The sequence below is a fragment of the Homo sapiens genome, chromosome 8 (genome assembly GCF_000001405.40).
Source record: "Homo sapiens chromosome 8, GRCh38.p14 Primary Assembly".
Taxonomy (NCBI): domain Eukaryota; kingdom Metazoa; phylum Chordata; class Mammalia; order Primates; family Hominidae; genus Homo; species Homo sapiens.
This window is the reverse complement of record NC_000008.11, coordinates 138,437,861-138,464,139: the sequence shown is the minus strand read 5'-3', so window position 1 is coordinate 138,464,139 and position 26,279 is coordinate 138,437,861. Positions and strand designations below refer to the sequence as shown.

The window sequence follows — 26,279 nt, the reverse complement described above, 5'->3', positions numbered from 1 at the left end:
GCTGTCTTCACTTCCACTGTCTAGCAGTGCCTGATGCATGGCTCTGACAGTCAAATACTACCTGATAAAGGAATGAGTGAATACGGACATTTACGTGCTCAGCCTCATTCTCCTTTTCTGTTAAAATAAATGCAAGGTACTGATAATCTCATGCAGTTGTAGACAAATGAAATGAGATCATACAACTCAAAAATGCAGCATACTTGCTATTTTAAGTGCCCTATACATGTTGGTTATTTTAATAATGGTAATTACTGCCCATCAAAGGGTTTCTTGACTAGTCGGCCTTTCTTTATATCTTCAAATCTCATTCTACTCGACCCTTCTCCTCAGGATTGCTCAGGGGTCAAGTTCAAGCCTCCTCCTTCTGAAACTTCCTTCCCTTCTGCAGCATCTTAGATTACATCTTACTACTGCTTCTCTTTTCTAACTCCCTCCCTGAAAGAGGTGCCCATACCAGCTACTTCCTCTTTCTCATTGCGCGCCTCCTGAGTTGCCATTTGGTTACAGGACCTTTGGTATTTGTGGAGCGCTTTACGTTCACCCCAGAAATTATGCCATGGTGTCCTCAAAACACCCAGACAAGCCATTTACCCAGAGGAGCTGAAGCACAGATGCTGTGGCCTGGAGGTGGTGGAGCTGGGATTCCAGGCTCTTCCTGCTTCACCATGGCTATGAAACTTCTTACAGTGGACTTTGCTCTATCTGGAGGCCCCAACACCCACCCCCTTTCCTGATACAATTCTCTCCCACCCTTCTTGAGTTCCTTGATTCAGTGGTCTCTCCCTTTTCTAACTCCTGGCTGGCCCTGTCTTTCCTACTGTCACTGCTCTAACTGTGTGTGTTCTCCTTTGAATTATAATTATTTGCTACTTGGGCTTTTCATCCCCATTAGCTTTGAAAGAATTTGAAGATACTTACCATCTCTTTTCTATCTCTCTTTCCTCCAACCTGCTTAGCAACAGAACCCGATGAAGCAAGGACTCCATATGTGCTTTTCACCAAAAATTTAGGAATAGAAACTTCCTTTTAGAACTGAGATCTTCAGTTTTATTTATTAACACAGATGTGCTGGTGGACTGGGATCATAAACGTTTTGAGTGTTGTGATGTTCTTTTGGGAATAATTTATTATTACTTCTTGGTCTTTCAATTATTATGAAAATGTAATGTAAATAGCCTGCTGTTAGTTAATTTTTGGATGAGAATACAGAGGAAGCTATAGATACTGACCACTCAGAAACATCAGAGAAGTCGTGGTTGAAACTCAGCCATGGGCTGGGCGTTGACTTTCCCCAAATCTGGACCCAGCTTCAGATTTTCTCTGGACCTCCTTCCTCTCATTTCCACGTCTTGACCTATCTTGTTTCTTTGCACCTCACGCTGGTGCTTGCCAGATGCATAATTCCCTAGCATTTTCTTTGTTATATTAAAAGGCACCAACTCCCTTTTTTTCAAATGATGTTGAACAGAAAACTCCTATGTAGAAAATGGACACAGAGAAGAGCTACTCGGGTTAAATCATGAGTTGGGGTCCTGAGCCTGGCTCAGTTGTCCTGGCATTTACCCTGCCCTCCTCTCCCCAGTGACTCCAGGTAGCATTCTAGGACCTGCACACCCTCTGGGTGAGAGTTGGAAACCCACAGCTCTGGAGTTCTTTCTTGACTCTCTTTAAAAATATGCAGTCAGCAATAAAACTGCCTCCCTTGGAGTTGACTTCATTCATAGCAGAACACTGGAACCTTTATCCCACCCTCATGAATCCTTGAAAGAACTTAGATGTAACTTGCTCTACCAAATAGGAAAGTATTCTGCACAGTTACGAAAACAAAAATAAATGCCAAGATCAATGGAACAATGTGTTGTCCCCAAATGGCCTTTGGTATATGACAAGTAGAAATCAGTAGAAAGAGAAAGAAAACAAGTATTCCACATATATGTACATATATACATATATGTGGAATACTTTTAATGTATAACATATTACATAGATATGCAATACTTTGTTTTCTTTCTTTTTCTTCTCATTTCTACTTTGTTTCTGGAAGTATTTACATTGATGGATTTATCATCATCATTATCATCATCATCATTATTATCATCATCTATCAAGCCAACCTTGGATAATTGATTCAGCTGGTCATAGAGTTGAGTCAGGCTTCTGAGAGAAGGCTGACAGCTCATCTGTGTCATTCGGGCAGGATGACAGCCACATGAATCATGCTGCTCTGGGTGGGCGGTTATTAGCAACCTTCTCCCACCCTCGTGGGTTGAACGATACAGAGAGAAGATCAGCATTTTTGAGTATGTGCTGGTTTTAAAAAGAAATCAAGGGACAGTGCCAATGTGGCTATGTCTTGTAGAGGAAGGCAGGCCTGGGTTTAAATCCCAATAGTCATGGTTGTCTGTGAGGTCCTAGGATGATTTACATAGACTACTGACGTCTGAGCTTCATTTTTTATCAGAGAGTGATCCTATTCATTTCATAGTGTTCTGTTCAGGGTTAAATGCAATATGTATAAGGAACCTTGCACAGGTGCTAAATAGCTAGCTCTACAGAATTAGAGTATTGGCTTAACATTTCATTTGCATACCTTGACATGGACTTGAAAACCAAGAGAAGTTAAATGTCAATCCTGAGGTCATGTTTAAATATGTTTGTGGTAATTTATTGTGTGTGTACTCTGCCTTCATCATGTCACTGGGCTTCTCAAATCCTCTGGAAAGGAATTTTTGTAATCTCTTCACTACAAAAAGTCATAACATCTTAGAACTGAAACAGACCTTTGCTGACATCTGGCTTTATTTCCTTATTTTACAAATGAGAATTGGTGAGTTGTTTCCTTGATGACCAGGATGCATCCCCAGCACCCTGGTCCACTTCCTGGCTCAGGTGTGTGCTTAACACCCCTGCATATCTCAGCTGCCTTGCAGTGTGAGCCAGGACTGCTGTCAGCTTAACGTAAGAGTATCCATGACTAATAGTGGCTTCAACTCCTGTTTATTTAACTAGCCTGGAAGTGACCAGTGACTGACATTAAAAAAAAGAAACTTATAACAAAGGATTAACTCCCTGTTTTTTAAATGAGCATCTGATCCTTATCTCACCGGTTCCCTTTGCTGTGGATTGGAAGAGAAAATAGGAAAACCCAAGCTGTCTGAATACAGGAGCTTTGGCTGTATGATGCCAGGCCCCGCTCTGCAGGAGTCTGAGCCCTACCTCAGTCCAGATCTGAATCAGGGTCTATAAAGAGCTGAGGTTCAGGGTGGAGTTATTCTTTGCCGTCCTTAGCTATTGCCTTGTTGTCACATTGTTGCAGTAGAATGACCACAGCTCCCAACGTCACATCTCTGTTCAGGGAAGAAGAAAAGAGGAGTGCAGCACCAGCCATTTTTCTTCCTTGTCTGTTCTTTTTTTATAGAAAAAAAAATCCTTCCAGAAGCCTCCCAGAATATTTATTCTTTTATTTCATTAGTCAAAATGGAGTCACCTAGAGGAGCATCCTGGAAGAAATGCTGGAGAATGAATAACTGTCTTCTTTTCCCCAATCTTAATAGTCTGAAGCAGGCACAAATGTATACTCTGAGGCATGGGGAGGCCTGAGAATAAACAGCTCTTGGGTTAGACAGTCCCTGCCATGTTTGGGTGAAGGCCCTGTTGGTGTGAATTGGCTCTGAGACCTTTGCCATGTCCCTTTATCTTCACTTCCAGGGTAGGTGTGTTTCACCCTCCAGGCTGCTGTTTTGCATTTGGAAGAAGGCTTTAGCTTCTGGGGCTGTGGGTGTCTCAGGCACTGCAGCATAGCACTGGGTTGTTGAACTCATAGGCTTTGAAGCCAGACAGTCTATGGAATCTTCCATTCCTGGCTGCACTGCTTACTAGCCATGTGCCTCTAAGCAAATTATGTCCCTTACCTGTGCCTCAGCGTCCTCATCTGCAAAATGTAGGTATTGTGTCTGCCTTCTAGTAATAAATGTGATAATGAGTGGAATGGATAATGAACAGAAACTGCTTAGCATGGTGTATCACCCAAAGAAAGGGCTTAAACTATTGGTACAGCAAAGAAACAATAGTTAATCCTTACAGGATGCTTCCTATGGGCCGGCCTTATTCACAGTGCTTTTGCATATATTAAATCAGATCATCCTTATCTCAAATTGAGGAGGAAAGTTCTATGGTTCTATTCATTTTACAGCTGATGGAGCAGAGTACAAGGATGGGTGAAGTAACTCCCTTAGGCTGCCTGGGATTTAAACTGATGCATTCTGGACCCAGGGTCCATGGCCAATCTCTATTTTAAAGTGACTCACAGACTTTCAGAGGGGGCCTGCTTCTTATCTCTCCAGTTCCCTTTGCCATAGCTTGGAAGAGGAAACAGGAAAACCCAAGCTCTCTGAGTATAGGAGCTTTGGCTGCACAATGCCAGGGCCCCTTCTGCAGTAGTCTGAGCCCTACCTCAGTCCAGATCTGAGTCAGGGTCTGGAAAGAGCTGAGGTTCAGGGTGGAGTTATCCTTGAAGAGGATGAGACAGAGAAAAACTGACCATTCATCATCATCATCCCGCCAGTTTGAGTATTGAATCAATACAGCCTGTGTTTCTCATGATCGCCTGGTCCTTGAGACTGTTGATAAGGCATTAGAGAGCTTCATGGTTGTTGATAATCTGAGGAACGCCCTCTCTAGTGACAGACTGTCACGGACATGGAGGATTTTTTGAAGTGCCTTTTCAATTTTATGAGTTGAGGATCCTGCAGCCCTGGAGATTTATAATTGTCCCTGCCACTGCTGCTTTGTGCCTTCTTCTAGTTTCTGCCTTGTTTATCTGGTTTTCTTCCCCCATAGTATTTTGGCAATTGTGAAAAGTGGTTCTGGAGAAGTACCAACAAATGCTCTTACTGCCCGAGAACTGACACTTTTGGAGGCTACTGATGTTTACGGCAAAATAGCCTGAGTCCTTTAATGTCCTTCTTTGATTGTTCTACCAGCTACGATTCCTGCAAATCCCTGTCATTCTTCATCACAAAGTTATAGAGGTACTATGATCATAACTTTCCCCAGTTCCTTTGGCTGTGGGCTGATTTGGGGGTGGGGAGTGGCAGTGCTGCGTGGATTCAGACGCCCAACCTCTGCTGTATTCCCTGGGCTTGCCTGTGTAGGGAATTTCACACACATGTACTGTGTGGCCACCAGTACATGCCGGCAATTTCACAAGTCAGAAATCCCACACTTCACTTTGCTTCTGCTTAAATTAGCCATGTGCTGCTGGAAAATTATCATTTGCTACTCCCTCTGAATTCAGCGTAACTTCTACAACAGCAGAGAACTAAATGAACTCCTAAATCAGCGGTCAGCGTACGTTTTTTGTAAAGGGCTAGATAGATGGTATATATTTTAGGTCATCCAGGCCATATGGTCCCTGACTCAACTACTCACCCCTGCTTTTATAGTGAGGAAGCAGCCACAGACAATACATAAATAAGTGGCTGTGACTGTGTTCCAATAAAGCTTTATTTACACAAATAGACCGTGGGCCAGAGTGATAGTAGATTTGGTACCAGGAAGGAAGCATGGAATTCTCTGGACACATGTACTCTCTTTTGGTCTAATGGCCATTCCTGCCAAATCCAGGAAATATTTTCAGATTCTTTCTACTCTGCTCCTTCTTCCCCATAGCAACCTTGACCATCTTATTTCAGGCCATAACCCTCTCACCTGGAGTATCCAAGTTTCCCACCTTACTTCAGATCTCCATCTTCTGATGTGTCATTTTGACTCCTGACAGACTACATTTATTTGTGAATTTGTTCACTTAATAAATATTGAATTCCTGACATGACAGATCACCACTGTGTTAACTCTTAAGGCTTTGAAGGTAAACAGAAAAAAGACAACATTCCCACCTTCACAGAGCTTGTAATTTAGTATGGAAATATGTAAGTATGCTACTATATGCTCATAAGAATGTATGCTTTGTTTATTTATTTATTTGAGATGGAGTCTCTTTCTGTCACCTAAGCTGGAGTGCAGCGGCGTGATCTCAGCTCACGGCAACCTCTTCCTCCCAGGTTCAAGTGATTCTCGTGTCTCAACCTCTCATGTAGCTAGACTATAGGCGTGTGCCACATCCAGCTAAGTTTTTTTCTCTCTCTTTTTTTTTTTTTTTTTGAGATGGAGTCTCGCTCTTGCCCAGGCTGGAGTGCAGTGGCGGAATCTCAGTTCACTGCAAGCTTTGCCTCCTAGGATCAAGTGATTCTCCTGCCGCAGCCTCTCGAGTAGCTGAGATTACAGGTGCCCATCAGGGCGCCTGGCTAATTTTTTGTGTGTGTTTTTAGTAGAGATGGGATTTTGCCATGCTGGCCAGGCTGGTTTTGAACTCCTGACCTCATCCGATTAGCCTGCCTCAGCCTCTGAAAGTGTTGGGATTACAGGCGTGAGCCACTATGCCTGGGCAAAAATGTGTACTTTTTATATGAAATGGATGATTGTTGTAAATCCTATAAAGCATAAAGGATGATGAAAACCCTTGTAAAGTGAAACACGAATGTCAGTTTCCTGCTGCAAAGCCTTCAGTGGCTCCCCTGTGACTGATGGAGAGTCACCAGCTCAGTGTAAACAAGGATCACCACTGGGAGTTGGTGATGCCATGCTCATCATCTACATTCTGTCTTGTGAAATTGCTAAGCCTCAGGGAGGGCTTGGGATCTGAAATTTTAGCAACCATCTGGGGTGATATTGAGGCAGTTGTATGAGTATCACACCTTGAGAAACTCTAGCCTAGACACTGTGACAATATGACCCTGCAGTGGCTCACAGTACTTTCCATGGCCTACACCATCTCCAGCCGTCTCTGCCACGGCTCTCACTCCTGCTCAGTGTTGGAGATGCCTGGTGCCATGTCCCGTTTCCCACACCTCCACACCCTTCCCTCCCTCTGTGTGTCGGCACACACTTACATCCCATGCCCCCTTCCTTTTCTTCTGGCTCCTGCTTCTCTTCCTAGGTCTAGCGTGGAGGGTTGCTGGCCATCCCTTATCCCTTCTCTTTTCTAGAGGCATTTTGCCTATTATTTTATCACCTATATTTTTAATTCCACATGTAAAGCTTTTTTTTTTTTGTTCCTTTTATTTTTCTTTCACATCTTCTTTGTTGTCCCAGTTTTGTTCTCCCCAAAGCTTCCCAGGATGATTTTCCTGGTCCTTCCCCCGTTTTATCTTTCCATGTCAGTGGTGAGAGGAACGGGGTATGACTCCAGGAAAGGAGCGTGGTTTCTGTCTCCACCATCCAGCTTTCCCTTCATTTTACTAAGTACTGATGTATATAGACCATACCAGTGAGGCCTTTGCTTTCCCTTACAATATGAATGTCCTTTTCATCTTCTCTTTGATAGAGAAAAATGTGCTTCTAAAGAGGATCAAGGGAATATGGGGAAATCACCATTTGGTATATATTTTAGTGAAGATGATTCCTAGGAAAACTTTAAAATGAGCTTGTTTTTTCCAGCTGGAGGCATAATTGTTACCTAGGAATTGATGGAGCTGCCTATAGGAGACTCAGATAAACCCACCACCCACGAGCCTCATGACCTTGTGGGCAGGGATTTCCCACTGAAGCATTAGATAATGCCTTCTCCCTAGGCTGGGAGCATGGATTATATTGAAGGAGCAAAACACAGAAGCTAAGACCCTGTCCTAACCTTGTAGTCTCCCAATGAAAATACTTCCTCCCCACTCCCTTCACCCTCTTCAGAAATGCACTTGTTTTTGGCAAATTGCAAATCTGCAGTTCAAAGATACAAAGGATTAGGATTAGGAAGATTACCTGACTTTGTAAATTGCAATTAGCTCTTAGTTCATTTTGGTGACTTCAATGTCAGTGAAGCCAAAATACTTCAGCTACATACCCAGTGATATTTGTGAGGATTTAAAGTATAAATCTGGGGATTTTCACAGTTTTGTTGTGTTTGGGTGATTGTGTCGTTCAAACCATAACAGGGGAGACCTGTTGAATCCCTGTGGGCTGCCAGTGATATGTTGGTGACTTGTTCACTCAGTCTTTCAACACATTTACTGACCACCTACTATGTGCTGACATTACATTTGGTCCTCACGTACACTTCTGAATAGATAATTTATTTTTCCCATTTGAGAGACAGAAATTGAGGCTCTGAAAAGTCATACACAAAGACAGACAGCTTGTAGGTCTGGATCTGGCATATGGAGGGTGTAGATCTGATTTCAGAACTTGTGCACATAACCACCATTCCTGGCCTTCCAAACCAATCCAGTAGGACTCAGCCACTGTAACAGCTGTCTACAGCATGAATTATGGATGAAGTCAGGTACTTAGAAACTGTACCACCATAGTGGTGATGGACCCTTTGCTGATTCCCATCTCTTTCCATCCGTTTATTCACCCATCCATCTGCCCACATACCCACCTACCCATCCATTCACAAGGAGAATAATGCTAGACAAGAAAGAACAGAGCCAGAATGTAGAAGCAGTTGATCTCTTGGGCCTAGATACTTATTTCTTCCTCAGTTGTCTCTTCCATAAAATGGGGGTTATTATAGTAATAATAAAAACCTACATTTAGGTTTGTTGTAAGGATCAGATTAGGTAATACATGGAAAGCTCTCAGAACAATGTCTGGCACTTTATAATTATTATGATATTGTTATTGTTTATTATTATTTCATCTATATTATGCTTCATTTTGCATTGTTGGCTAGAATCTTAAGAGATGCTGTCAGACCACGTACTTGGAACATGAAGAATATGAAACCCTGGTTAATTTGGACTTTAGTAACTTTGAAATCTATGACAATTGTGCAACCCAAGGTCCCAATGCAGTTTACATTTCTCCTATCCATGATGAAAGAGAATTTGCTGAGTAAACAGGCAGAGCTAGTGTAATGGCTTGGAGACATATTTAACCTCCAGAGTATTTTGGAAGGTCCTATGTGCCAGCAACATTGTATTTGTTGGATTTGAAGCAATCTTACTTTTACATTAAAATAGATCCCCCAAAGACTTTCTCTTTCTGAAGGTCACAAAATCACACTCAGTTCCCACATTTACACTCTGAATGGCTTGAATACATCTTTCTGTCAATTTCAGCTAGGTTCCCTAATTTATAAGTCAGTGCTCATCTGTTATCTTAAGATTTAAGTGAGATCATTGACTCAATACGTTTATTGAATGTCTACTACATGCCAAGCCCTGGGCTGAGGGATAATGACACGAAGGTGAGAAACTGTGGACAGAGTTCTTGTTTTCGTGGATTCTGCAGCATTGTGGGCAACATAGGCTGTGCATGAGACAAGGAGTAGATAGATGCCTGGTGCACAGTAGGTCCGCAGTAGTTAGTTGTTTCCATTCCTTCCGATTATAAGTTTAGTGGAGCTCTCTGTGTGTGAAGCCACACTAACACAAAAGTGAGACTCCTCTAGATGGACTGAAACTAAATCTATGTTTACAGAATCCTGCCTGCCTCATCAACTTTTAAAATTAAGACCTGAGTGATGGAGGAAGAAAGGGTGCAGAGTGAGGCTTCAGTACTAGCCCTGGTTCTGCACTTACTTGCTCTGCAGTATCAAGAAATATTAGAACATGTTTGGCCTCAGTTTCTTCCTCTGTTTCGTAGGTGGTTCAGATAGCTAAACTCTCAGGTTCTTTCCAGGAGAAGAGGCTGGAATTTGACAGTTATTTTGCAACCTCTGCCAGCCGCACTAAGACTATAATATCCCTCAAAAGCCATCACTTAAGGGAGGCATCTAGGGCAGTCATTTTCCATTTGACGAATGAAGGAGAAAATGGGTCACTGAAACATGGCTGTGTTCCAGTCATCCACTTCACGTGTACCTGATCCAATTTTTTGGCCGGGAGAATTGGCCTTTGAAGAGAACCTTGGCCAAGTCCATGGCTTAAACACTTAGGCTGCTTTTCAAAAGGCATTTTCAAAATTACTTTTTTTTTTTAATTTTAAAAGCAGTGGACTTAAAAGGAGTTTTTGTGCAATTACCTTCATTTTTACCTGCCTTATTCTCCTCTCCTGCATCCCGTCTGGACTAACTCAGTGACCCCCACCTGGTCCTGGGAGTCAGTGCATGAGTTGCACGCATAGCTCGACCATCTATATTACCTTGGGGAAAGCCACACACTCTCCCCAAGAGTCAGATTTCTCTTTCGTGAAATAAAGAGAGGGTAAGTTTGGCAAAAGCATAGCAAAGATCCTTCTACTTTATGAGGATTACATAATTTAATCTGACCTCACCTGATGGAGTCAGTACTATTATTATCTTCACTATGCAGGTACTGAGGCCCATCAAGTTTAAGTAACTTGGAAAATATCACAGAAATAACATGTAAGGTGCTGAGATTTGAACCTAGGCAGCCTGGCTCCAAGACCTGCTCTCTGAAAAATCATCTTCTACCATTTCTAAAAAGGGGGCTAAGAACAGCAATATGGACCCTGCTGGTTCTATGGAGTGACCTGGACTCTGGACCCTGACCCTTAACTGTATGTGGTACCCTGGCTTCTGCTTATTTTTTGGACTGGTCTGTAGCATTCTGCTACTTGAGCAAATCCCCAACTGCAAGAGAAAGCTTCTTTTTGTTTGTGGAGGTGAGGGAGTCCGGGACCAGCAGGGAATGGGCATATACTTCTCTTACGTCATGAAGATAGTCATTTTGCCTCTTTTTTTTTTTTTTTTGTCACTTGGACCTATGTGAGAGAAGACAGGGGCAGGAATTTGTTAGAGTGCCTACAGGAAATATTCTTGTATAAATAATAGGTATTTTTATATGGGATATTTATTGATAACCTATCAGCACTCCTCCAAAAGCAGCATCTGTTTGTAATGTGAACTTTTCGCAAGTGGGATTTCTGAATGCGGGGAAAAAAGCTGATGTCCCCATAGTAGGCAATGATGTTACAGAGATAATGACAACAGGCCTTAGAGTGTCTTAGCTTTTGGTCTTACAGACTTGCATCTTTCCTGAAGCTCATTTTTTACTTCTGAGTGGTGTTCTTGTGCTGTCCGGCTGCTGAGATGCCCCTCCATGATCCCCACTTCCTGATATTGTATTCTATTCATGAGCTACTAGTCTTCTCCCACATTAACCCACATAAGTCATAGGACATTGTGGAAATGACAGAGCTGAACTTCCGAGGGTAGCTCACAGAAGACGTTGTAGCTTCCTCCTTCTTCTCTTGGATCATTTCTTCTGGCCAAACCAACTGTCATGCCATGAGGACATCTAGGGAGTCTCGTGGACGGGTGCACGGGAAAACTAGGGCACCTGCCACCAACCAGCACTATCTTGCCAGACAGAGGAATGAACATTCTGAGCATGGATTCTCCAGCCCCAGTCGAGCCTTGAGATGACAGTAGCCCTAACTGACATCTTGACTGCAACTTAATGAGAGACCCTAGACTAGAGGATCCAGCTAAGCCACTTCTGAATCCCGTGTCCACAAAAACTGTGAGCTCATAAGTGGTTATTGTTTATAATTGCTGAGTATTTACATAATTTGTTAACCAGTGTAGATAATTATTACAGTGTAGTGGAAAAGACACAGAAGGATGTCTATGTAGAAGCTGAAGCTCGCGCCACTTCTTTGTGTCTTGGTGTGGACACTTTTATTTTTCCTGGGCCTCTCAATCCTACTCTTTATCTGTAGACTGTGGTCACCTCCACTTTGAAAAGCAGATTGGGGCCAGGCGAGGTGGCTCATGCCTGTAATCCCAGCACTTTGGGAGGCTGAAGTGGGTGGATCACCTGAGGTCAGGAGTTCGAGACCAGTCTGGCCAACGTGGTGAAACCCCATCTCTACTAAAACTATAAAAATTAGCCAGGTGTGGTGGAACATCTCAGCTACTTGAGAGGCTGAGGTGGAAGGATTCCTTGAGTCTGGGAGGTGGAGGTTGCAGTGAGCCGAGATCATGCCACTGCACTCCAGCCTGAGCAACAGAGCAAGACTCCATCTCAAAAAAAAAAAAAAAAAAAAAAAGCAGATTGGGTGGATGAAATAGGAAATTGTGGGTCATAGTATAATAAAATTAATATTGTTTTGTGACTTTTATGCCTACAAAGTGATAATTTTTTATTAGTGTATTTTGTCTGCATTTAAATGCAACTTAATTATAAAAATTATGAGCAAGGTGAAAAAGAATGAAGGAGGAAAATATGGGCTGTGCCATCAGCCATCATTTTTCTAATATGTTAAATCTCACAGACTATACCGCAATGTCTTGAAACATCTCTCATTCCTGTATTTACCCATTCATTTGTTCACCCATCCATCCATAAGTCCATCTTTTTACCCAATATTTTTGGACATTTATCTGTGTCAGGCACTGTTGGGGACCCTGGGTGTGGAGTGCTGAGTAGCACAGATTCCATGGCTTTAGAGGAGCACATCTGCAGTGAAAGCAAAAGAGGAGTCATTTAAAGATCAGTAAACATGCTCATAGCAAACTCTATTCCAGTTGACGGAGGAGTTAGTTGCCCTTGTACTGAACACCTCAAACCTCTATGTTCATTTGATTCCCTGTGATTTTTCACCATTCAAGCTTGTTCATAGGAAATTCTGCTGTAGGGGTTGTCCCCTTACTTTAAACATCTCCAGGTGACTCATAGGACACCTGTACTCAGCATGTATAGCTACTGTTGTTTCCTTTTCATCCTTCAAGACCTTCTCTATTTTTAGGATTTCTTCAAGTATCTTCTTGCTGTCCAAGTAACTGCCCTTTGCTAAAATCCAAGAACCATTTCAAAAACTTCTACCCTAATAACAATACGGCATATGCAACAAGAAGTGTGTCAGTCAAGGTTCTTGGTAGCAAACAAGAATGCAACTTGATCATCTTAAACAAAAAGGGAGTGGTTTGGAAGAATATGAGGGAATTGCTGAATTAGTAACATGGTAGAGATTTAGTTCAGAACTTAGCAGAAGCTGCAGGGACCCCTGAGGCTAAGGGGCAGGGTTTATAATTGGTCAAGGCTATCCCATTGAATGAGCAGGGCCTGTGTGCTAGTCTGCGGCCACTTTTTAAAAGCAGTAGAATGTCTTGGTCCAGACAGCAGACCCTGGGGCCAGACTGCCTGGATTTGGATCACAGCACTTCATATATTAGTTTTGTGATAATTGTCAAATTACTTAAACTTTATGGGCCTCAGTTTTATTATTTATGCAGTTGAGATAATAATAGTACCAATTTTATCAGGTGAGGTGTAAATTAGATAATTCACGTAGTTTAGCACAGTGTCTAGGACACAGACAGCACTCAATAAATGTCTGCATTTTTGCATCATTCCTTCAAGATTGAAGACGACTGATTGACAGAGCCTGAGTCAAATGCTAATGAGCCCTTGCTGAGTAAGGAATGAGAAGGATGTTTGGTGTCCCAAAGACCATAAAACTCAACAATAAGAAAATAACCAACCACATTAAAAAGTGAGCCAGAAATTATAACAGACACTTCACCAAAGAAAATGTAGATGGCAAATAACCATATGAAAAGAAGCTCCATATCATAGTTTATCAGATAAATGTAAATGAAAACAGCAATGAGATACCACCACACACCTATCAGAATGACCAAAATCCAGAACATCAACACCACCAAATGCTGGCAAGGGTGGAAAAAAATAGGAACTCTCATTTGTTGCTGGTGGGAATGCAAAATGATATAATCCCTGTGGAAGGCAGTTTGGCCATTCCTTACAAAACTAAGCATACTCTTACAGGCAATCCAACAAGTGTGCTCCTCAGTATTTACCCAAAGGAGTTGAAAACATATATCCACATGAAAACCTGCACATGTATGTTTATAGCAGCTTTATTCATAACTGCCAAAACTTGGAAGCAATCAAGATGTCCTTCAGTAGTTAAGTAGATAAATAAACTGTGCAGCACCCAGACAATGAAATATTCAGGGCTAAAATGAAATGAGCTGTCAAGCCATGAAAAGACATGGAGGAAACTTAAATGCATATTGCTAAGTGAAAGATACTAGCCTGAAAAGGCATAGCTTTTCCTTGACATTCTGGGCAAAGAAAAACTATGGAGACAGCAAAAATGTTAGTGGTTGTCAGCAGGTAGAGAGGGAAGAAGAGGCAGAAGGCAGGATTTTTAGGGCAGTGAAACTACTCTGTATGATACCATAATGTTGGATGCCCTCATTACCTATTTATTCAAACCCATAGATTATATAATATTTATGTATATATAGGGATTGAACCAATAGAAGATATAACATCTAGGGTTTGATGAAGAATGAATCCTAATGTGAACTCGGAACTTTGGAGGATTATGATGTGTCACTGCAGTTTCATCAGTTGTAACACATGCACCACACTGGTGAGAAATATTGATAATGGGGGATGTTCTAATGTGTGGGGACAGGGGGTTTATGGGAAATCTCTATACCTTCCTCTTAATTTTTCTGTGATCCTAAAGCTGTTTGAAAAACATAAAGTCTTAGAAAAAGAAATCTGAGCAGATTCCTCTGTAGCTTAAATAGGCTTCCAATGCACTTAGTAGAGTTTGAATCCTGAAGTTGGTCTTGGCCTTGAGTGGTGGGCCCATGACTGCTTCCCAAGTTTCCACTTAGATGACCACCCCTTCGTATTGGTTACGGCTCCTGTTTCACTACTGCCCCCCTCCCCACGTCCAGCCACTCTCACCTCAACAATTTGACAGCTCTGAGCTCCGTCCTCTCTCAGAGCCCTTCCTCCTCCTGTGGGCTCCTCTCTCTGGAACACTCCTTTCCCTCCCTTCTTGCTCCTTGGATCTCAGCTGTAATCCGGGCCAGCCTCAATCCCTTTATGGCACTTTGGAGTAGGAAAGTTTCTCCAGCACAAGCTCTCTTAGCAGCCTGTGCTTGTCTTTTATTCTACTTAATACAGTTGTAATGAATTAATTATGTATGTGAGAAGCATTTGAATGCCTTTCTCACCCATTTGTAAGTTCTTTTTCATCCTGTATCCTTGGTGCTTAGCAGATAGCAGCTACTCAGATAATTTTACATTGTGAGTAAACCTGGGCCTGATGTGGCGTCAATTTATTTATAGTAAACATATTAGATAATTGTTTAAAAGAAATGACAATTGGACTGTATCAGCAATACAATGGAAGAGATTGAAATATGTATTTAGTCTCATGAGAAAAGATCTCCCAAACAAAGATTAGTGTATAAAGAGGGGTTCCCATAAAATATAGAAGATCATCTTTTAAATCCTGGTTTTCTCTCTCCCTCTGCTCTTCTTAGTAATCTCCATGGAAACAGCTACTATCTCCCAAGAACTTTTTTTTTCTGATTCCTAGCTTTTTTTTTTTTTCCCCCTGTGTTAGGTTTTCCAGAGGAACAGAAGAAAGGTATAGGCTTGTGTGATTATGAAATCTATTTCATAATATAATATGTTAGTTTCATGATATTATTATATGAGATCAGGGATTGGCTCATGTGATTATGGAGGCTGAGAAGTCCCAAGATCTTCACTTGGTGAGCCAGAAGCCCAGGAGAGCTGATGGTGCAGCTCCAGTCCAAGTGCTGACGGGCTCAAGACCCAGGAAGAGCCGATATTTCAGTTTGAGTCTAAAGGCTGGAAATAAGTGATACTCCAGCTTTTACAGTAAGTAAAAGATCCTTGCTAACTATGTCCACTCTTATGATCTAATCTGGTGAGCTGAACCAAGGTCTCAAGCTAATCTAAGGAAAAAATGACAGACAGAAGGAGTCCACCCTTATTCTTGGAAGGGGCAGTCTTTCTGTTCTATTGGGGCCTTCAACTGATTGATGTGACCCACTTACATTAGGGAGGGCAATCTGCTTTACTCAGTCCACCAGTGCAAATGTGCATCTCATCCAAAAGTCCCCTCCCCAACACACTGGGAATAAAGTTTGACCAAATATCTGGGCACCCCGTAACCCAGGCATGTTGACCCAGAAAATCAACCATCACACCTTCCCCAAACAATTCTGACACCCACCCCAAGTACTTTTTCTTTTTTTTTTTTTTCTGACCTCTGTTTCCTTTCTCTGCTCTGTGCCATATGACTTCTCTGCTTTCTTATTTTTTTTCCTTAGATTAGCTTGAGGCCTTGATTCAGCTTGCCAAATTAGATCATAGGATCTAGTAAACAATGATCTTCTACTTCCTGTGAGAAAAGGGTGGTTTGGAGACCTAAAGAGTATGGTCACGTATGATACAGAGGATGTTCTGTGATCACTGATATTCAAAACAGCTTCCCCAGCACTCTGTCCCTTTACCCTTCTTTGTCTTCATATAACCTGAGGCTTTATTTTTTCTTTTTTTTTTTATTATTATACTTTAAGTTCTAGGGTACATGTGCAAAACATGCAGGTTTGTTGCATATGTATACATGTGCCATGTTGGTGTGCTGCACCCATTAACTTGTCATTTACATTAGGTATATCTCCTAATGCTATCCCTCCCATCCCCCAATCCCCACCCCACAACAGGCCCCGGTGTGTCATGTCCCCCTTCCTGTGTACAAGTGTTCTCATTATTCAATTCCCACCTATGAGTGAGAACATGCAGTGTTTGGTTTTTTGTCCTTGCGATAGTTTGCTGAGAACGATAGGTTCCAGCTTCATCCATGTCCCTACGAAGGACATGAACTCATCATTTTTATGGCTGCATAGTATTCCATGGTGTATATGTGCCACATTTTTTTAATCCAGTCTACCATTGTTGGACATTTGGGTTGGTTCCAAGTCTTTGCTATTGTGAATAGTGCCGCAATAAACATATGTGTGCATGTGTCTTTATAGCAGCATGATTTATAATCCTTTGGGTATATACCCAGTAATGGGATGGCTGGGTCAAATGGTATTTCTAGTTCTAGATCCCTGAGGAATCGCCACACTATCTTCCACAATGGTTGAACTAGTTTACAGTCCCACCAACAGTGTAAAAGTGTTCCCATCTCTCAACATCCTCTCCAGCACCTGTTGTTTCCTGACTTTTTAATGATCGCCATTCTAACTGGTGTGAGATGGTATCTCATTGTGGTTTTGATTTGCATTTCTCTGATGGCCAGTGATGATGAGCATTTTTTCATGTGTTTTTTGGCTGCATAAATGTCTTCTTTAGAGAAGTGTCTGTTCATATCCTTCGCCCACTTTTTGATGGGGTTGTTTGTTTTTTTCTTTAAATTTGTTTGAGTTCTCTGTAGATTCTGGATATTAGCCCTTTGTCAGATGAGTAGATTGCAAAAATTTTCTCCCATTCTGTAGGTTGCCTGTTCACTCTGATGGTAGTTTCTTTTGCTGTGCAGAAGCTCTTTAGTTTAATTAGATCCCATTTGTCAATTTTGGCTTTTGTTGCCATTGCTTTTGGTGTTTTAGACATGAAGTCCTTGCCCATGCCTGTGTCCTGAATGGTATTGCCTAGGTTTTCTTCTAGGGTTTTTATGGTTTTAGGTCTAACATGTAAGTCTTTAATCCATCTTGAATTAATTTTTGTATAAGGTGTAAGGAAGGGATCCAGTTTCAGCTTTCTACATATGGCTAGCCAGTTTTCCCTGAACGATTTATTAAATAGGGAATCCTTTCCCCATTGCTTGTTTTTCTCAGGTTTGTCAAAGATCAGATAGTTGTAGGTATGCAGTGTTACTGCTGAGGCCTCTGTTCTGTTCCATTGGTCTATATCTCTGTTTTGGTACCAGTACCATGCTGTTTTGGTTACTGTAGCCTTGTAGTGTAGTTTGAAGTCAGGTAGCGTGATGCCTCCAGCTTTGTTCTTTTGGCTTAGGATTGACTTGGCAATGCGGGCTCTTTTTTGGTTCCATATGAACTTGAAAGTAGTTTTTTCCAATTCTGTGAAGAAAGTCATTGGTAGCTTGATGGGGATGGCACTGAATCTATAAATTACCTTGGGCAATATGGCCATTTTCACGATATTGATTCTTCCTACCCATGAGCATGGAATGTTCTTCCATTTGTTTGTATCCTCTTTTATTTCATTGAGCAGTGGTTTGTAGTTCTCCTTGAAGAGGTCCTTCACATCCGTTGTAAGTTGGATTCCTAGGTATTTTATTCTCTTTGAAGCGATTGTGAATGGGAGTTCATTCATGATTTGGCTCTCTGTTTTTCCATTATTGGTGTATAAGAATGCTTGTGATTTTTGCACATTGATTTTGTATGCTGAGACTTTGCTGAAGTTGCTTATCAGCTTAAGGAGATTTTGGGCTGAGATGATGGGGTTTTCTAGATATACAATTATGTCATCTGCAAACAGGGATAATTTGACTTCCTCTTTTCCTAACTGAATACCCTTTATTTCTTTCTCCTGCCTGATTGTCCTGGCCAGAACTTCCAACACTATGTTGAATAGGAGTGGTGAGAGAGGGCATCCCTGTCTTGTGCCAGTTTTCAAAGGGAATGCTTCCTGTTCTTGTCCATTCAGTATGATATTGGCCGTGGGTTTGTCATAAATAGCTCTTATTATTTTGAGATACGTCCCATCAATACCTAATTTATTGAGAGTTTTTAGCATGAAGGGTTGTTGAATTTTGTCAAAGGCCTTTTCTGCATCTATTGAGATAATCATATGGCTTTTGTCTTTGGTTCTGTTTATATGCTAGATTACATTTATGGATTTGCATATATTGAACCAGCCTTGCATCCCAGGGATGAAGCCCACTTGATCATGGTGGATAAGCTTTTTGATGTGCTGCTGGATTTGGTTTGCCAGTATTTTATTGAGGATTTTTGCATCAATGTTCATCAAGGATATTGGTCTAAAATTCTCTTTTTTTGTTGTGTCTCTGCCAGGCTTTGGTATCAGAATGATGCTGGCCTCATAAAATGAGTTAGGGAGGATTCCCTCTTTTTCTGTTGATTGGAATAGTTTCAGAAGGAATGGTACCAGCTCCTTCTTGTACCTCTGGTAGAATTTGGCTGTGAATCCGTCTGGTCCTGGACTTTTTTTGGTTGGTAAGCTATTAATTATTGCCTCAATTTCAGAGCCTGTTATTGATCTATTCAGAGATTCAACTTCTTCCTGGTTTAGTCTTGGGAGGGTGTATGTGTCGAGGAATTTATCCATTTCTTCTAGATTTTCTAGTTTATTTGCGTAGAGGTGTTTATAGTATTCTCTGATGGTAGTTTGTATTTCTGTGGGATCGGTGGTGATATCCCCTTTATCATTTTTTATTGCGGCTATTTGATTCTTCTCTCTTTTCTTCTTTATTAGTCTTGCTAGAGGTCTATCAATTTTGTTGATCTTTTCAAAAAACCAGCTCCTGGATTCGTTGATTTTTTTGAAGGGTTTTTTGTGTCTCTATCTCCTTCAGTTCTGCTCTGATCTTAGTTATTTCTTGCCTTCTGCTAGCTTTTGAATGTGTTTGCTGTTGCTTCTCTAGTTCTTTTAATTGTGATGTTAGGGTGTCAATTTTAGATCTTTCCTGCTTTCTCTTGTGGGCATTTAGTGCTATAAATTTCCCTCTACACACTGCTTTAAATGTGTCCCAGAGATTCTGGTATGTTGTGTCTTTGTTCTCGTGGGTTTCAAAGAACATCTTTATTTCTGCCTTCATTTCATTATGTACCCAGTAGTCATTCAGGAGCAGGTTGTTCAGTTTCCATGTAGTTGAGCGGTTTTGAGTGAGTTTCTTAATCCTGAGTTCTAATTTGATTGCACTGTGGTCTGAGAGAGAGTTTGTGATAATTTCTGTTCTTTCACATTTGCTGAGGAGTGCTTTACTTCCAACTATGTGGTCAATTTTGGAATAAGTGTGGTGTGGTGCTGAGAAGAATGTATATTCTGTTGATTTGGGGTGGAGAGTTCTGTAGATGTCTATTAGGTCCGCTTGGTGCAGAGCTGAGTTCAATTCCTGGATATCCTTGTTAACTTTCTGTCTCGTTGACCTGTCTAATGTTGACAGTGGGGTGTTAAAGTTTCCCATTATTATTGTGTGGGAGCCTAAGTCTCTTTGTAGGTCTCTAAGGACTTGCTTTATGAATCTGGGTGCTCCTGTATTGGGTGCATATGTATTTAAGATGGTTAGCTCTTCCTGTTGAATTGATCCCTTTACCATTATGTAATGGCCTTCTTTGTCTCTTTGATCTTTGTTCGTTTATAATCTGTTTTATCAGAGACTAGGATTGCAACCCCTGCCCTTTTTTGTTTTCCATTTGCTTGGTAGATCTTCCTCCATCCCTTTATTTTGAGCCTATGTGTGTCTCTGCACATGAGGTAGGTTTCCTGAATACAGCACATTGATGGGTCTTGACTCTTTATCCAATTTGCCAGTCTGTGTCTTTTAATTGGAGCATTTAGCCCATTTATCTTTAAGGTTAATATTGTTATGTGTGAATTTGATCCTGTCATTATGATGTTAGCTGGCATATAACCTGCGTCTTACCTGACATAAAGTATATTTCTTTGTTGATGTTGTTGTCTCCACAACAGGAGGGTTCCATACACCCTGTCATTTGTTTGCTCTCTAATTCCCAGTATTGGGAACAGCCCTTGTCCCTCAGTCAGTGCTTAGTAAACACTTGCTGAGTGAATTAATTTGATGAATGACAATTTTGAAAATAAGGATGTCTTGGATTAACTAATTAGCAATTTTATTTGTGTGAGTTCTGCCTTTCAGGTTTGGTGTAAGATTTTGAAAAATGTCCTTTTTTTTGTTTGCTTTTGGTTTCCTGCTTTTGTGCTTCATAGTGAAAGACCCAGGTATTTAAGTGGACCCCATATAATACTGATTTCAAGAGTTCAGATCATATTTTCTGGCTCCTTTTTGGAGAATGTCTTTGGAACCCACAGGATCTGGTAAAAAGAAAGAAAAAGAGAAAAAGAAAAGAATATTTGAATGGATAGACCAGACTTCAATTTCTGTCTCAATAACCTATTATTTCTGGGATATTAATTTCCTATTTTATTTGGGGGGATTGATAAAATCTGCTTTACCCAGATGTGATGAGCAACGAGGCTTTTATGGCCTGGCATCAGGGTGGATCATGGGCTATTTCTCTCCTTTGCACACAACTCCACAAACACACAGCCTTGAGATAGGACCTACTGGGGTCTTTACATTCCATTTAATGCAAGCCTTTGGGTGAGTCCTGACTCATCAGTAGCAGCAGCCTCACTGGGGTTGTAATCCCCTGACTTATTAAAGACAAGCCATCCTCGCACACAGGGACGAGGAGGTGCAGGGATGTTCTCCTGACAACCATCACGTAGTCCTTTCTGATTTGTCAGTGGCATTGCATTAAAATTGATCCATTTCCCAAACTCCATTGCTGTCCTTGTCTTATCAAATTATAGACACAGCTAGAGCCCATCAGTCCTTCCCCCTGGGAGTGGGAACTCCTCAGCACAGCAGGGCTTTCTGATACAATGTGGTTTGCTTGGAATTCATTACTAAGGGGACTTGGTGAATTGGAGATCTATTACTTTTTACATTCTGCTTTCTGTGGAGTGCCTGGGATAACATCCTGGCTACTCTCCAGAATGTTTTTGATTGTTTTTGTGCTCCTCTCTTTCTTTCTGTTTTTATTTGCTTTGTTTTATTTTGCTTTGTGTTTGGTGGTAGAGGTCAGGTTGAGACAACACAGTAGAAAAAATAGTAACTCTAGATCTGCGAGGTCTAACCTAAGTCTTAGCTACATCCTATCACTTGACATTTTTAAACCCATTGAAAGAGGATGTTAAACAGCATTCACTTCAAAGGATGTTGTATGTGCCTGACACATAGTAGTACGTGCTCATTAAATGTTTCATGTTGAACAAATAAAATAGTAAACACAGAAATATAGACACACAACCAAACATATACATTGTGCCTATAAAAAGATATTCAACTGCCAAGGTTTTTCATATATATATATATATATATATATATATATATATATATATGGTGTCCATATTCTTCACGTTAAATTTTTTTATTTCCAAATTGAAGATGCTAGGCTAAGACAAGCTGTATTCTAGTTCTATTTCATATACCTTGGACAGATTATGTAATAGTTTAAGACCCTCAGTTTCCAACATTTGTAATATTAAAGGAGGAGATAATACAATGGTCCTTCACATCGTTTGCCTGCTGCATAAGGACTTACAGAACTTGACATACAAAATATTCAACTAACACCAATCTGCATCACTCGGTGTGTGTGTGATTTCCCAACACTTCTCTCTTTTTCCCCCTTATTTCCTCCTTCCTTCCAAATTTCTCTCTCTTTTGCTCTGTAATTATTTATTTGCTGTCTCCTCACACAGCATATTCTCTGTCATCAAGACTGCACTCTTTGAGTCTTCAGACTACCCCCTTCTCACAGCTGCTGAGGGTAAAATATCCTTGCTTCCTAGGTCCACTCATATGATCGAATTTGAATCAAGGTCTCAAGCTAATCTAAGGAAAAAAAAAAAGCAGAGAAGCTATATGGCAGAAAGCAGAGAATTGGAAGGGAAGTCACAAAAGAAGAGAACATACTTGCAGGCATTGTTTCAGGTAGTGAGTGAAATCTGCAAACAAACAGAAATTCTTTCTCTCGTGGAATGTATGTACTAACTGGAGAAAGCATTGTTTAAAAAATAAGCAAATAGGATGTCAGGCTGTGTTCAAGAGAGTGTATTTAGTTCTTCACACAATAGTGATGCTGATGGATAAAGATTTCCAGTTTGGTCTCAATCCAATAAAACACCCCCATTCAAAGTGTCATTGTCCCACTCTTTCCAACTGATGCCCTAAAGCTCACAGAAGAGACTTGTTGGGTGTGCAAATTTGGCTTTCCTCATAATTCTGCAACCTGCATAAGAAAGTTTTAGTTCTGATTTTCAGCCTTATCTTCCCTGTGACTACATGAAATAAGAGATTATTTTAGGGCTACCCCAGAAACAAACTTGTTCTCTCATCAGAGCTGAGTTGATAGACAGTCTGAAGGCTAGATCTTGTTATTTTCCTCTGTTTACTCTCCAGTGCTGTAAAAAATATCCATCCCAGCATGCTTGTATTCATCATTAACATTGTAGCCACGTGGAGCAGCCACTCGGTCATCCAAGGCACTTGCTAGAGTGAGCACTTCCTCCACTGAGGCTGGAGGGTCTACGATGACTTCACTCACATGTGTGGGGGTCTTGGTGCAGGCGCTAACTGTTCCTCTCTTTCTTTAAGGTCTGTGTTTAGTATTCTAGTGTAGGCTTTGTTACATAGTGGCAGGAACACTCCAAAATAGCAAAGTAGAAGGCTCAGGAACTCACACAGTTTCACTTCTGCATATTCAGTTACCACCCAGACCAAGGGGCATGGAAATTGGCTCTACCTCTTGAGTTGCATGTCATGAAATATCATAGCCACTTTTTCAATCAATTAGAGGAAGCCTACAGTATGAGTATATCTCAGAAATGTGATAGATTTTAAATTGATCTTGCCTTTCTAAAGATGTTTCCCATCTATACTCTGTGAGAGACACCTCTAAAATATCTCATGTCAAAAAAGTATTGGGTAAGGTGTCCAGTAACCTAGGTTTGTGGTCTGGCTCTGGAACTGATTTATGTTATCTTGTAATGATAGCAATGATGATGATTTTGGTGATGACGGTGATGGTGATTTTATTAGATATGATTTAGACAATGCAGTTAGTACTTTCATGTGCATTATTATAAATATTTAAATTCTAATTTTACCTTTTTTGGACTTTTGTATGTATTATCTGTTAAATATAAAGCCCATATTTTACTTTTGTCCTAGATATTTGTCACTATCTTGCACCCATTTCTCCCTCCTAATAGCACCCAGACATTCCTCTAGATGAATTGTCTCTTGAATGTATGCTCTTGGTTGAAAGTAACCCCAGAAATATGCCTTCTTCTGGGGTGGCTTAAGGGTTCCTGAGACATTTATTTGCAAGAGCATAGCCAAAAGCTGGGGCGATGACCTTAATATGGCCAGGAAGCTACCTCTCACCTGGAACTTTAAGTCTTAACTGAGATGAGTCAACACAAAAGAAAACATTATAGTTCCTGCAGCCCAGTGGTGGGAACCTGGTGAGCTTGTCAAGTTCTCACTGATGAGACTGGCAAGAACACCCTGATAGCTCTTAGTTCTTAGCCTTGTTCATCACACTATCTTCCCTATGATCCTCGCACCTGCACTCCAGTTCTCCAGTGGGTCCATTCTTGCACAGGTAAGCCAGGATTAGTGTTGGCATCCCAGGAACCATGACTGCTTCAGTTATCTATTGAATTACTTTAGAAGTACCTGGAGTGATGGAAAGTGCTTGGCCAAAGTTTACAAAGCCCTGTAGCCAATAACTGGTTCCAAATTTCAGGTCTGCCTTTTCTGCTCACATTTCAACATTGGACAGTCAAACTTTCTAAGCACGAATTTCTTCAGTTGTAACATGGGACACAATAATACATCCCTAGCAGAGGGGTTAGGATTAAATTAGAGAGCAGCTGTGAAGCACCTGGGAGAGCTTCTGGCACACAGTAACAGTGGAAAGTTCTGGCACTACAGTAGAAAGTTCTTTCCCTTTCTGTTAATGTTAATGCTTCATCCCCATTCACAGAGACTGGAGTATCCCTTGACTACTCCAGTCAAAGGGAAACCCAACATGACATGTTCCCTCCCCCTAGGAAATGTCCTCCTCTGATGTTATGAGGTCGGCCTATGAAGCTTTACCTTGGAGTTTGAAGATGAGACTGGTGTTTGTAACCCATGAGGACTACTGAGGTCACATGGTGTAGTGGAATGAGAATGGGATTTGGGATCAGGCAGGTCTGAATTCATACCTAATGATGACATATGTGATTAGCTGCTTAATCTTGAACGTCATTTATTGTCCTATGTGCTATGATTCTCTCATATTGACCACACAGGGCCATTATGAAATGATAATTGGTAATTTACATGCAGGTTCTTTGTAACCTAGAAGAATATTATCTTTGTACTGGAGCCTCCTCAAAGATTTTCAGGTATATACACACCAGAAACTTTGCCTTGTACAGCTCCTGGTGGATAAATGAAGGCCTTCAAATGGGCAGGAAATAATCCAATTTCCATGAAAGTTAATTGAGCTCTGTGTTTTCTAAAGGCTAATAGCCTGGTGAGAGATGTCCTGAGTCAAGCTAATGTGATGACCCACTTGTTTTTTTAGGTACCAGTTATGGAACAGAAGCCACATCTGTCACTGATAACCTGTTTGTATAGTGACCTCTTCCACCCCACCCACAAGGTTGCCATGGCAATTTTAGGTCAAGAAGATCATCCCATTGAAAGACAGGAAATGCTAAGGAGTAAAATGCAGTCCCCAGGAAACCTGGTTTTAGTCCTTGCTACATATTATTAAATGGCTGGTCCAGTATCTGGTTGGGACTACTGTGCCAGGCATCATCCTCAGGTGATGTCTGATCATCCTGGCCTGTCTTTGGCAAGAATCCAGTTCAGTGGGTTTTGCCAGAATCCTTTTACTTCTGAGGTTTTCTCTTAGTTGTTTTCCATCCTCTGATCCCTCTCTTGTTCCTTGGTTATATATTTCCCCTTGCTTGTGCTGTATTCAAAATTGAACCCAGTTTTATATTGAAGCATCTTTTCTCCTGTTTCAATAATCCAGAATAGAGTCTGTTTCTACCACTTTAACTACTGCCTAGCTCTGTTTTTTTCTTTGATAGAGCTCAGAAGTGCAATTCAAATTTGATTTGTAGATGTAGCAGCAATCAAGATTTAGCTGGTATTTGAAGACACTCATATTATCACTCTTTCTACTACCCTTTATTATATTTTTTGATTCTGCCCCACATTATTTTTGCTAAGGAAGGAGAGTTCCAGGAACTCTCATGGAGTACTTGAGACATGGCTCTTCAATAGCCACCCGGCACCTTCTCTTAGATAAGAGGTGTGAAATTATAGGAGCTCCTTCTCGCTTGAGAGCCCCTTGAGTAATAATTATTTAAAAAAAGCTGTTATAATAAAACTTTGCATTTAAATTGCCTCTTATTCTTAGGATGTCAAAGTGCTTTACAAACATGAATTGCTAGAAACCTTTTAGGTTAATTAAAATGAGCAGGTTTCCCAGACAAAGAAGGTGACTGTTTTTGTACTCTCGGGTGTTTTTACAGGTGAGCGAATTGAAGCACAAATAAGTTCTTTGACTAATCAAATAGAGATGTTCTGAGAACAGGTGATTTCAGCATTAGCACATCAACCATGCTACCAAATTTCATTGCCCTTCGGAATTATAATGACAATAATGTAGTGATTCCTGAATTCTGGTATTCTTAATAAGAATATTT

General features: G+C 41.0%; 1 protein-coding gene across 12 annotated transcripts in view; it reads left to right on the top strand.

Annotated features, from left to right (window-relative positions):
• Positions 1-26,279, top strand: part of FAM135B (family with sequence similarity 135 member B) — a 367,708-nt gene that overhangs the window by 33,591 nt on the left and 307,838 nt on the right. For 7 of the 12 annotated variants that reach the window (XM_011517061.3, XM_011517060.3, XM_017013471.2 and 4 more), the window contains exon 2: positions 22,356-22,500. The exons of the other annotated variants lie outside the window; for them this stretch is intronic. The gene's annotated coding sequence lies outside the window, so the exon portion shown is untranslated. The remainder of the gene's footprint in view (positions 1-22,355; positions 22,501-26,279) is intronic. 12 annotated transcript variants of the gene reach the window in all.